Source organism: Homo sapiens, chromosome 16 (assembly GCF_000001405.40).
Source record: "Homo sapiens chromosome 16, GRCh38.p14 Primary Assembly".
Classification (NCBI taxonomy): domain Eukaryota; kingdom Metazoa; phylum Chordata; class Mammalia; order Primates; family Hominidae; genus Homo; species Homo sapiens.
Window position 1 is genome coordinate 57,193,028 of NC_000016.10, and position 13,686 is coordinate 57,206,713.

The 13,686-nt window shown below is 43.4% G+C and overlaps 1 protein-coding gene across 16 annotated transcripts in view; it reads left to right on the plus strand.

Annotated features, from left to right (window-relative positions):
* RSPRY1 (ring finger and SPRY domain containing 1) overlaps positions 1 to 13,686 on the plus strand; it is a 54,318-nt gene that overhangs the window by 6,876 nt on the left and 33,756 nt on the right. For 10 of the 16 annotated variants that reach the window (XM_024450483.2, XM_024450484.2, XM_024450482.2 and 7 more), the window contains exon 2: positions 11,477 to 11,981. In XM_024450483.2, coding sequence (XP_024306251.1) covers positions 11,632 to 11,981 — 350 coding nt within the window. In that variant the 5' untranslated portion in view covers positions 11,477 to 11,631. Of the gene's footprint in view, positions 1 to 3,031; positions 3,630 to 9,160; positions 9,186 to 11,476; positions 12,355 to 13,686 lie in introns of those variants that run through there. The other 6 variants (XM_047434854.1, XM_047434855.1, XM_047434853.1 and 3 more) reach the window with 6 other exon arrangements.

The following is a 13,686-nucleotide window of genomic DNA, read 5'->3' on the forward strand; positions in this document are numbered from 1 at the left end:
CAACCAGAAAAAAATACCTACTTTCAAAGGTGTGCTTTCTTAAAGATCCTCAGTGCATAAGGGAAATGTCAGAATCATCCAGTGCTTTTCCCAGACTTCTTGACAGTTACAGTTCAGGAGTTAATGGTACTCTGTGTGACCTAAACCTACGGTTAGATAGCTTTGGACATCTGGGAGGCAAGTAAAAACGCCTCATCAAGACAACCTTTCTTTTTGTGGGAAAAGTAAAATTCCAACCAAATATTTCACAATCTACCCCCTTCTTACCTTCCCCAATGAAATACCAGAGGCTTTAGAGTCTAAAGACAGAAACACTCTTGTTGAAACATCTTTAGGTAGTTTCTGTTTCAGCTGGCAAGTGTAATCTTCATGCATTACCAAATCAGTATTGTTGACTTGAGATTTTCCCTATTTAAACACAATCTTCAGTAAGAAGATTGTGGTCTTTGGGGTGTTCTGCAGGCTTTTTTTTTTTTTTCTTTGGAGACAGAGTCTTGCTCTGTCACCCAGGCTTGAGGGTAGTGGGATGATCTCGGCTCACTGCAACCTCCACCTTCTGGATTCAAGTGATCTTCCCACCTCAGCCTCCCAAGTAGCTGGAATTACAGGCACACGCCACTGTGCCTGGCTAATTTTTGTATTTTTTTAAGCAAATATGTTTCTAGATAATGTTCTCTATCTTGATAGGGTTTGAGTCACAGGTATATGCATTTGATAAAACTCAGCACGTTACTGTGCTTAAGATTTGCACATTTCAGCCGGGTGCGGTGGCTCACGCCTGTAATCCCAGCACTTTGGGAGGCCGAGGTGGACAGATCATTTGAGGTCAGGAGTTTGAGACCAGCCTAGCCCACATGGTGAAACCCCATCTCTACTGAAAACACAAACATTAGCTGGGTGTGGTGGCATGTGCCAATAATCCCAGCTACTCAGGAGGCTGAGGCAGGAGAATTACTTGAACCCGGGAGACAGAGTTTGTGGTAAACTGGGATCACACCAGTGCACTCCATCCTGGGCAACAGAATGAGATTCCGTTTAAAAAAAAAAAAGATTTGCACATTTCAGTGTATGTAAATTCGACTCCTAAAAACTTGAAGTTTATTGAAGTCTAATTAGTGATATGCATGCTGAATTATTTAAGAGAAAGTATACTGATGCCTATAGTTTACTTTGAAATATGTAAAAAAAACTGAATGGATTAATGATGGATAAGAGATGGATAGCGATAAAGCAAGTTTAGTAAAATGTTAGTAGTAGAGTCTAGGTGGTGGGGATAAAGCAAGTTTAGTAAAATGTTAGTAGTAGAATCTAGGTGGTGGGTATATAGTTCACAGTTTACAGTGAACTCTAATTCAATTTTCTGTATGTTTGGAAAATTTCATAATAAAATATTGGGAGTGGGGAGTAAATGTGATGATAGAAGCTATCTCTTTAACACACTTAGGGAAAAATCCGAAAACATTTTCTAATGAGAGAACATCATTAAAATTTTCAGGATGTTACACATTTTGCTATTCATGCTATTTGACTTAGCCTTTGTGGGGGAGGGTTGGAAAAAAAGTCACATCCTCTAACACTATTTTGGAATGATAAGGTGAAGATTATAACAATAGTAATTTAGTGCCCAAAGTCTGGTTTTTCTTCTTTATGGTCACTCTTGTAATCAGCTTTTCCTTCCTAGGCAGTGTAATTCTGCAGTCCTATTTTCAAAGAAAAGAAAGTGTTCTTTCTCACTGATCTGTACTATGGCTGAATGCAAGCAAATATTTGAAGAGATGAATCATTGATTCCTGGACCATTTGTCAGAGAGGGTTAGACTAGTTGGCCAGATGTCTCCATGGTGAGCTGTTTATGATGGTAGAGGTCTGTGTTTTATAAAGACAGTGAGTACCAGAACCTTACTGCTTTAACACCAAGCTTACCAAGACCCTAAGTTTGATTATTTTTTTTTGTCTCAGAGCAGCTTTAAAAAAATATAAAGCGTTAGGTGCTTCATTTACCCCCAAGAAAAATGAAAAAACATGTAAAATGTAAAAATCTAATAAATAATATAGAAATGGAGAGAATAGTCTTTAGTTTCTTTTTTAAAAAGGCAAGAATCAAAATTAATAATACCACACTTCAGAGAAATAGATTTGCAAAGGAAATATTCGATCATAATTATGCTCTTGCAGCAAAATTGTTATCGAGAGTATAATATTAGGCTGGGCATGGTGGCTCACACCTGTAATCCCAGCACTTTGGGAGGCCGAGGTGGGCAGATCACCTGAGATCAGGAGTTCAAGACCAGCCTGGTGAACATGGTGAAACCCCATCTCTACTAAATGTACAAAAATGAGCCAGGCGTGGTGGCAGGCACCTGTAATCCCAGCTATTCGGGTGGCCGAGGCAGGAGAATCGCCTGAACCGGGGAGATGGAGGTTGCAGTGAGCCAAGATCACACCATTACACTCCAGTCTGGGCAATGAGAGTGGAACTCCGTCTGAAAAAATAAAAATAAAAAAGTATAATCATATTAAAAGTATTGCCACTTAGGTGGTAAGAAGAGTCCTTCTACTAAGCACTGGCATCCAGTGATAAAAATTATTAAATCAGTTGATGTTTGTCACAGATGTGTATTTAAATTGTGTGACTAGCTTTTTTTTTTTTTGTCTCAAAGTTGACTTCACCAGCTAATGTTGTCTTTGAAGTTAAGGTAAAGAATATAGGTATTGGCCAGGCACGGTGGCTCACACCTGTAATCCCAGCACTTTGGGAGGCTGAAGTGGGTGGATCATGAGGTCAGGAGTTCAAGACCAGCCTGGCCAACATATTGAAACCCCGTCTTTACTAAAAATACAAAAAATTAGCTGAGCGTGGTGGCACGCACCTGTAGTCCTGGCTACTCGGGAGGCTGAGGTAGGCGAATCACTTGAACCCAGGAGATAGAGGTTGCAGTGAGCCGAGATCTCACCACTGGACTCCAGCCTGGCGACAGAGTGAGACTTCATCTCAAAAAAAAAAAAAAATATATATATATATATATAGGTATTACAGATGTGTTGCCTTTATATAATCTCATCTTACTCATTTTCTATTCCGTTCAGTCTCTTAACCCTTGATGATATCCTTAAGCAGCGTATCATTTAGGTTCATTTTGATGCTTCGTAAGATGGACCTCATGGGAAATATATGGAGCCATTTTTTCCTTTGTGTTGATATGTACTGTACATGTCACTTATGGATATAACCATTCTAATGGCTTTTTAGGCTGACCTCTCCAAAAGACTGCATTCAAAGATAGTCTCAGTTCATTTTACTGGACAAGGAAATTAACATTTTTGACCCAAGAAGAAATGCCCTTTAGTATTTCAGTTTGCCCCCTAGTTCAGTCGGTGTGTCCTTCCTGCTGTGCCAGGTTCTGTGGTAGGTTCTATACACAGTGATTTCCAAATGTGGCTGCCATCAGAGTCACTTGGGGAGCTTTTAAGAAAACACAAGCTTGGGCCGGCATCCCAGAAATTCTGATTCTGGCTATTCGTAGTGGGACCAGGGATTTGCATTTTAATAAGTACTCTAAGTGATTCTAATGCCGTCTATGGGATGATCAAGCTACAATCCCTCCCAAGATTCTCTGTCTGAAAATATAGGTAAGTATAGGTTATAGAAAAGTAAAAATTACTTCAGTACGGGGTAGTTCTGTAAAAGATAAATTCTTTACTTTTCTTAGTGCTTTTAACTCAAGTTTTACTCCAGAATCCCTCTCCCCCAGGTAATTTAGTTATTTCTGATTAGATATGTGCTCATTTTGTAACATCTTGCATTTTTTTGATCCAGTTTAAATGTTAGGCACTGTGCCATGCGTATTACATGCATTATTTCATTTAATCCCCACAGTGGTACTGTGAGATAAGAACTGTTACTATGTCTGTTTTTTAACATGTGTCAAGAGTCAGGTTAATTAGGACGTGTATCAGTAAATATTGCAGGGCTGGGACTTTCACCTAGTCTGACAACAGAGTGTGTACTGTGCTATGGTGGCTTCTGGTATTGTGTGTAAAATCTGTAAGCTCAGTTTTATTGTCTTAAAGCAGTGGTCCTTGGAAAGTGGGCCACGTAAAGCTTTTTTTGAATGGATGAAACAAAAAATTGTCTAAAGTGTAATTGATTAGCTTTCACCCAGTCTTTTGCCTGCAGTCCATCACTTCTCTGTAAAAAAAAAATACCATGAATGACAGCCATTTCCAGTTTAAAACCTATAGGTTTTCAGTGCCAGATAAATCTGAAAGATCATCTACTTTGTTCATTTATGTGCCCTGTCTGTGGCTGTAGCCCTCAAGAGTACTCTGTGTAGTCATCTCAGAAAGTATTTAGAGGTAACAGCTCTTGATTTTTCCTTGTACGTTTCATAGGCTTGCCTTTATAAAATGCCTTCCAGCTTCTTCCACCTGATTAACCTCTTCTTTACACTTGGTTTTCACAGATGGTCCTTTTTATTTAAAAAAAAAAAGTCTGGCTTTAAAGTATTTACAGTTTTTTTAAAAGCCTCATTTTCTTCTCTGACAAATTTTATAGTTGACATTTTCTGGGTCATTTAAGGAAAATTGCTCTTTTGGAAGAAACTGACTCAAAACACACTTTAGTTCAATTTGGAAAAAAACTTAATTTTTGTCTTCTTACCTTCGTATTTAGTCAGTTTTTGTTTTTTGTTTTTGTTTTTGTTTTTGTTTTCCCAAAGACAGGGTCTAGCTCTGTCACATAGGCTGGAATGCAATGACACCATTAGGGCTCACTGCAGCCTCGACCTCCCAGGCTCAAGTGATCTTCCCACCTCAACCTCCTGAGTATCTGGGACCACAGGTGTGCACTACCATGCCCAGCTAATTTCTTAATTTTTTCTGTAGAAATGGGGTCTTGCTACATTACCCAAGCTGGTCTCAGCCTCCTGGGCTCAAGCAATCCTCCCAACTCAGCCTCCCAAAGTGCTGGGATTACAGGCATGAGCCACCATGCCCATCCTATCAGATTTAGTCAGATTTTAAAAAAAAATCTGCGTGTATTGGATATCATCCAATCACCTTAAAATTGTACTAAATGGGCCGGGCACGGTGGCTCACACCTGTAATCCCAGCATTTTGGGAGGCCGAGGCAGGCGGATCACGAGGTCAGGAGATCGAGACTATCCTGACTAACACAGTGAAACTCTGTCTCTACTAAAAATACAAAAATTAGCTGGGCGTGGTGGTGGGTGCCTGTAGTCCCAGCTACTCGGGAGGCTGAGGCAGGAGAATGGCATGAACCTGGGAGGCGGAGCTTGCAGTGAGCTGAGATCACGCCACTGCACTCCAGCCTGGGCGACAGAGCAAGACTCCGTCTCAAAAAAAAAAAATTGTACTAAATGGAAATCTGCATAGATTATTCTGTATTCAGTGTATAAAAACCTTAGGAAAAAATGATAAAGTTTAAGAATTTAAGATCCAACAAACCTCTTTTTAACTTCTTTCCTCACAGGCACCCCCAAGATGTTTTCTTCTTAATTATTCCTAAATACTTTTATGTGTTGGCATTAAATTGTAACTTTATAGGCTCCCCTATTCTTTTTGCTTTTTTTTCCCCCTGAAATTACTGAGCAACAAGATTCCTGTTCTCTCCCCTTCAAGGCTTTGTTTTCTGGAACTTGACATTCTCAAATCATTGCCAGTTATTTTTAGTACGTGATTAGTCTCCCTTCCTCAGGTATGTTTTCCCCAATTTGGATTGAATCTACTGTTTGCATCTTGTTTCCCATCCCACCTTCATACAGATTGTATGGAAAGGCTGTGGGGTATTAGAGCAGCCAGTGGAGTTCCCCTCTGCTGTGGCAATGTTGACACCACAGATCATAGTCCTAGGACCCTTACCACTGTGAGGAAGGAGTTTGGAGTTAGCACTTCCCCAGGGGATGACACATTTCCCCAGAAGAGGTCCCATGTCTCTAATCCTGGACTACTCCCTTCTACCATCCCCAAAGTGTTAGTTGGGTTAGCCACAAGTTTTTATAGCATAGTGGTCAAGAAATTATGATAATACAGAGTATGAATTTCTGTACAGCCTTTAAATGCATGAGGTAGTTACATATATACTGATATAGAAGGTTGTGGTATTAAAAAGAGCAAATCATAGAGCAATATTTATGGCTTCATTCTAGTTAGATTTAAAGAAAAAGCGGCTGGGCGCGGCGGTTGATGCCTGTAATCCCAGCACTTTGGTAGGCCGAGGCGGGCGGATCACGAAGTCAAGAGTTTGAGACCAGCCTGACCAACATGGTGAAGATCTGTCTCTACTAAAAATACAAAATTAGCCAGGCATGGTGGCGTGCGCCTGTAATCCCAGCTACTCAGGAGGCTGAGGCAGGAGAATCACTTGAACGTGGGAGGCAGAGGTTGCAGTGAGCCAAGATCGTACCATTGCACTCCAGCCTGGGTGACAGAGTGAGACTCCATCTCAAAAAAAAGAAAAAGCTAGTTTGAAAGTATATAATAATAGATATGGAGGCAAACATATGAAGCTTTTAAGAGGTTAGTTATCTCTGGGAAAGGCATGGGCTAGGTAGAGCAGAAGAGGAACTTTCACATTCCATAGGCCTGTGCAGCATTTAGGTTTTAGAAATGAATGTGTATATTTTAAGGTTTCTAGATAAAGATTTTTTTTTAATAAAATACAATTTCAAGTAAATATTCCAGTGGCACAATCATCTGACCTACTGGCCCAGAGCCAGACCTGTCCAAAAACCTTGAATTGTTTACCTCTTTTCACCTGAAATATTCTAACAGCGCCTTATCAGTGAAATTTCTTTTTTTTTTTTTTCCCACTCCAAACCTCAGTTTACTCATTTTGTTTTTTTTGTTTGTTTTTTTTTTTCTTTTTCTTTTTTTTTTTTTTTATTGATCATTCTTGGGTGTTTCTCGCAGAGGGGGATTTGGCAGGGTCACAGGACAATAGTGGAGGGAAGGTCAGCAGATAAGTGAACAAAGGTCTCTGGTTTTCCTAGGCAGAGGACCCTGCGGCCTTCCACAGTGTTTGTGTCCCTGGGTACTTGAGATTAGGGAGTGGTGATGACTCTTAACGAGCATGCTGCCTTCAAGCATCTGTTTAACAAAGCACATCTTGCACCACCCTTAATCCATTCAACCCTGAGTGGACACAGCACATGTTTCAGAGAGCACAGGGTTGGGGGTAAGGTCACAGATCAACAGGATCCCAAGGCAGAAGAATTTTTCTTAGTACAGAACAAAATGAAAAGTCTCCCATGTCTACCTCTTTCTACACAGACATGGCAACCATCCGATTTCTCAATCTTTTCCCCACCTTTCCCCCCTTTCTATTCCACAAAACCGCCATTGTCATCATAGCCCATTCTCAATGAGCTGTTGAGTACATCTCCCAGACGGGGTGGTGGCCGGGCAGAGGGGCTCCTCACTTCCCAGTAGGGGCGGCAGGGCAGAGGCGCCCCTCACCTCCCAGACGGGGTGGCTGGCCGGGCGGGGGGCTGACCTCCCTGCCTCCCTCCCGGATGGGGCGGCTGGCCGGGCAGAGGGGCTCCTCTCTTCCCAGTAGGGGCGGCCGGGCAGAGGCGCCCCTCACCTCCCGGACGGGGCGGCTGGCCGGGCGGGGGGCTGACCCCCCCACCTCCCTCCCGGACGGGGCGGCTGGCCGGGCAGAGGGGCTCCTCTCTTCCCAGTAGGGGCGGCCGGGCAGAGGCGCCCCTCACCTCCCGGATGGGGCGGCTGGCCGGGCTGGGGGCTGGCCCCCCCCACATCCTTCCCGGACGGGGCGGCTGGCTGGGCAGAGGCGCCCCTCACCTCCCGGACGGGGCGGCTGGCCGGGCAGAGGGGCTCCTTACTTCCCAGTAGGGGCGGCCAGGCAGAGGCGCCCCTCACCTCCCAGACGGGGCGGCTGGCCGGGGGGGGGGGGGGCTGACCCCCCCACCTCCCTCCCGGACGGGCGGCTGGCCGGGCGGGGGGCTGACCCCCCCACCTCCCTCCCGGATGGGCGGCTGGCCGGGCGGGGGGCTGACCCCCACCTCCCTCCCAGACGGGGTGGCTGCCGGGCGGAGACGCTCCTCACTTCCCAGGCGGAGTGGCTGCCGGGCGGAGGGGCTCCTCACTTCTCAGACGGTGTGGCTGCCAGGTGGAGGGGCTCCTCACTTCTCAGACGGTGTGGCTGCCGGGCGGAGGGGCTCCTCACTTCTCAGACGGTGTGGCTGCCAGGTGGAGGGGCTCCTCACTTCTCAGACGGGGCGGTTGCCAGGCAGAGGGTCTCCTCACTTCTCAGACGGGGCGGCCGGGCAGAGACGCTCCTCACATCCCAGACGGGGCGGCAGGGCAGAGGCACTCCCCACATCTCAGACGATGGGCGGCCTGGCAGAGACGCTCCTCACTTCCTAGATGGGATGGCGGCCGGGCAGAGACGCTCCTCACTTTCCAGACTGGGCAGCCAGGCAGAGAGGCTCCTCACATCCCAGACGATGGGCGGCCAGGCAGAGACACTCCTCACTTCCCAGACGGGGTGGCGGCCGGGCAGAGGCTGCAATCTCGGCACTTTGGGGGGCCAAGGCAGGCAGCTGGGGAGGTGGAGGTTGTATCGAGCCGAGATCACGCCACTGCACTCCAGCCTGGGCACCATTGAGCACTGAGTGAACGCGACTCCGTCTGCCATCCCGGCACCTCGGGAGGCCAAGGCTGGCGGATCACTCGCGGTTAGGAGCTGGAGACCAGCCCGGCCAACACAGCGAAACCCCGTCTCCACCAAAAAAATACGAAAACCAGTCAGGCGTGGCGGTGCGCGCCTGCAATCGCAGGCACTCGGCAGGCTGAGGCAGGAGAATCAGGCAGGGAGTTTGCAGTGAGCCGAGATGGCAGCAGTACAGTCCAGCTTTGGCTTGGCATCAGGGGGAGACCGTGGAAAGAGAGAGAGAGGGAGAGGGAGAGGAGGGAGAGGGAGAGGAGCAGTTTACTCATTTTGAAATAGGAATATTAAAGCTTATCTCAGAGGGGCCGAGCAGGATAGCTCACACCCGTAATCCCAATACTTGGGAGGCCAAGATGAGAGGATTATTTGAGGCTAGGAGTTCAAAACCAGTCTGGGGAACATAGCAAGACCCCATCTCTAAAAAAATAAAAAATAAAAAATCTTGTCTCAGAGGGAAACTATGAACACCAAATAAAGTAAGTGCAATTGTTACGGGGGGTGGGTGGCGGGGGTCCTTGTTCTTAGAACTCCCAAGATGGTGGCAGGCCACTTCCAAGATGGCGGCAAGCCTCTTGTTCTCTATCAGTGAAATTTCTGTGAGAGGACCCAGAGCATAGCTTCTTAAATGTTGCTTTTTCATCTTTCTCAGAAACCAGCATAATTTATAAGATCTGTAGAAATTCATTTCAGGGACCCTTTAAAGAATTATTCCTATTTCTGATTTCTGTTTCCTCTATTCTCTTAAGCATTGAAATCTCTTAGTTATCTACCCTCTAAAGCGAATCATACTCTGATCCCCACAGTAATGGCAATGTTGTTACTTCGACTCTGCTGGTTTAGAATGTGTTCTTTTAAAAAGCTATTTCCAGCTGGTCCTTGCATCATACTCCTACCTATATACTTCAGTCACATCCTTTTCAGTACAACCTCCAAATTTTGAAGACAGCCCGAGTGGTTTGGGGGAACCAAGAACATCTGTGGTATCACTTGGCCCAGCCATTGCTGTCTTAATAGTGAAAACGTCTGTTGCCTCTCATTTCCTTTATCCTTTTCTTTCTCCTGTCTTGTTCCATCCCATTCCATTCTTTTCTCTCCCTTCCCTTTGCCTCCTCCCTCTTTATATATATTTTATTACATATGATTATATATATATATATATATATATATATATCTGAAGACTTTCTGTCTCCATTTTTCTCTTTTTCTTCTATGTTTTCCCTGTAGCAGTAATCAAACTGGGAAAATAAAAAGAATTTTGCCATGAATCTGTCTAAAATAATGGAAATAGGCTGGGCACAGTGGCTCACACCTGTAATCCCAGCACTTTGGGAGGCCGAGGTGGGCAGATAGCCTGAGGTCAGGAGTTTGTGGCCAACATGGTGAAACCCCGTCTCTACTAAAAATATAAAAACTGGCTGGGTGTGGTGGCAGCACCTGTAGTCCCAGTTACTCGAGAGGCTGAGGTAGGAGAATTGCTTGAACCCAGGAGGTGGAGGTTGCAGTGAGCTAAGATCATACCACTGCACTCCAGCCTGGGTGATAGAGCGAGACTCCTCAAAAATAAGTAAATAAATAAACAAATAAAATAATGGGAGTAATATTTCTCTTCTAATTCCACTGAATTATAAATTTTGTTTATATTATTCCTGGTCAGTGCTCAAGGTATGAGGAATTAATTGTAACTAGCCAGATGTTGTGTAGAGACTACACACTAGCATAGTCTATTCCTTATGTGGCCTGTTCTCCAGCTGTCAGCCTGTTTTGTTTGTTTGTTTGTTTTTTTACTTTTTGCTACCAGCCCATGTAAGTCTCCTATTTCTAAATCTTTACTTCCTTCCAGAATCTAACCAGATTTTACCAGCTTCTTGAAGAGCTGGTTCTTTCATTAGGTTTTTAATGATAAACATACTTTGTGGGATGAGAATGGCCATCCATGAATTCCTGGAGGGCAGGAACTATTCCTTACTCATCTTTATTCTCCTAGTCCAGCGTGGTACCTGGCACAAGGTCCTTAGTCAGTATTTTCAGGCAAAGATAAATTGGTGCATCTTATTCTGAACTTTGTAATAGACATGTGCAACAAACTGATCATTGTGAAAATACAACTTTTGTGATATCAGTTTTCCTTTCCCAAAACAAAGCCTTGCTTACATAACAGAAACACTTTGCAACAACTTGTATGAATTCTGTCAGTTCTTGAGTGAGCTTCCAATGGGAAACTCTATCCTTTTATTCTCCTTGATATCAAATGGTGCTATCATATTTGTATCATAACTTTTTTTTAACAACAAACGTCTGTAATTATTTTATTTAAAACTTGTTAAATTATCCTATGGGTTTAAAGAAAGGAGTTAATTCATTTTTTTAAAGATTTTTCTCTTTTTAACACCTACCTCTTACACAGAAAGACAACTCTTTTTTTATGATAAAAGGAGCCCTTGAAAAAAAATGCACACATCCTTCTAATGTATTTCTATATAGACAGGAAAAACTATACATGTGGTTTTAAAAAAATCAATGATAACTCCTCTGGTCTATAAGAATATGGTTTGGCAATCAACTTTGTAACAGAATGATAAAAAGAAATTATTGATTGATTGCGAATTCTGTTATCCAAAGCTATCTCTTTGTATTGGAAACCTATAAAAATAACCAAAGATAATTCTTCATTAGAATCCTAATATCTATAAAATCAGACTAGGAAAATTTGAGTAATTAAGTGGTCAAGAATCTTTTATTCATTTTCCTTTTTCTCATTTTCTTTTAGAACTGCCATTGGATGTCCAGAATCCCCTGTAGTTGATAATGTTGGGAATAAGCTCTGCAACTTTCTTTGGCATTCAGTTGTTAAAAACAAATAGGATGCAAATTCCTCAACTCCAGGTTATGAAAACAGTACTTGGAAAACTGAAAACTACCTAAATGATCGTCTTTGGTTGGGCCGTGTTCTTAGCGAGCAGAAGCCTTGGCCAGGGTCTGTTGTTGACTCTCGAAGAGCACATAGCCCACTTCCTAGGGACTGGAGGTGCCGCTACTACCATGGGTAATTCCTGTATCTGCCGAGATGACAGTGGAACAGATGACAGTGTTGACACCCAACAGCAACAGGCCGAGAACAGTGCAGTACCCACTGCTGACACAAGGAGCCAACCACGGGACCCTGTTCGGCCACCAAGGAGGGGCCGAGGACCTCATGAGCCAAGGAGAAAGAAACAAAATGTGGATGGGCTAGTGTTGGACACACTGGCAGTAATACGGACTCTTGTAGATAAGTAAGTATCTGACTCACGGTCACCTCCAGTGGAATGAAAAGTGTTCTGCCCGGAACCATGACTTTAGGACTCCTTCAGTTCCTTTAGGACATACTCGCCAAGCCTTGTGCTCACAGGGCAAAGGAGAATATTTTAATGCTCCGCTGATGGCAGAGTAAATGATAAGATTTGATGTTTTTGCTTGCTGTCATCTACTTTGTCTGGAAATGTCTAAATGTTTCTGTAGCAGAAAACACGATAAAGCTATGATCTTTATTAGAGAATAGAGTAAATATGGAGTGAGTTTATGTTGCTAGCTACAATAGGAAATGGTTTCATGAAGGCTCACTGTTAATGGTACATGCCTGTCTATTCCACTGACCTCAGATTCAAGGTAAGTTGTTTTACCAAGAACATGGCTACAGGCAACTTCTCTTGGCAACATAAGGACTAAGGTCAAGGAGAGTTTTCATTATCCTTTATTTGATCCTTTATCCCTTATTTGACTATCTTTAATCCATTTAGGAAGCTTGTCAGTTGATACTGCAAGGCACACCTGTACCTGTTTTGTCTTTTCCTCTGCTTTGTCTACCTCTAAATACAAAATCATAGATTGAATAACAGTGAAATTAAAGGGCATCCAAGTAGAAAAAAACATTTAACTTAAGGTTGTATATTTCAGTAGTTAAGAGCACAAAGCTTAGAACCATGATGGGCCTAGCTCAAGTTCTGGCCCAGTGCCTTACTAACTGCATGACATTGGGTAAGTTACTTCTTGAAGCCTCAGATTCCTCATCTGTAAATGGGGGGATAATATTGTTCCCACAAGGATTATCATGAGATAATGTACATAAGGCATTCAGTGTGGAGCTTTGTACTTAACAGTTGCTCAGTAGATGGTAGTATTTTTTAAAAAGTTACTTATGTGTTCTTTTTGCTTCAGGCCCTGCTAGTAAATTTAAGTATATAAACATTTGATAATCGCATTTATAGAAACCCAGTTTCGTTTAGTTCCTCAAAAATTAAGCATAAAACAGAGTGTACCTGTGAATACAAACGAATTTTTAGAGCTGTATTAAACTTTTCCATAAAATACTGGAGCATTTGTTAGTCTTCGAGAAGAATAATTTTTTGGCCAGACACAATGGCTCATACCTGTAATTCCAACACTTTTGAGAGGCTGAGGTAGAAAGATAGCTGGAGGCCAGGAGTTCAAGACCAGCCTAGGCAACATAGGGAGATCCCATCTCTGCAAAAAAAATTTAAAAATTATCCAGGTACAGTGGCACTTGCCTGTGATCCCAGCTACTCAGGATTCTAAGACCGGAGTACTGCTAGAGTCCAGGAGTTTCCAGCTGCAGTGAGCTATGATCACACCACTGCACTCCAGCCTGGGCAATAGAGCAAGACCCTGTCTCAAAAATTAATTAATCAAAAAAAATTTTTTAAATCCCTTGTACCAAATTGTAATAAAAGTTATCCTTCCCAAATAAGGAAGTAAACCACAAACAATGTTAATTTAAGCTCATTGGAAAAATGGGTGCAGAATAGACTTTGAGAGAGAGAGTTTTTTTGTTTTGTTTTGTTTTTAAAGAGACAGGGTCTCACTTTGTCACCCAGGCTGGCGTACAGTGGCGTGATCATGACTCACTGCAGCCTCAGCCTCCTGGACTCAAACCATCCTCCCACCTCAGCCTCCTAAGTAGCTTGGACTACAGGCGTGTGC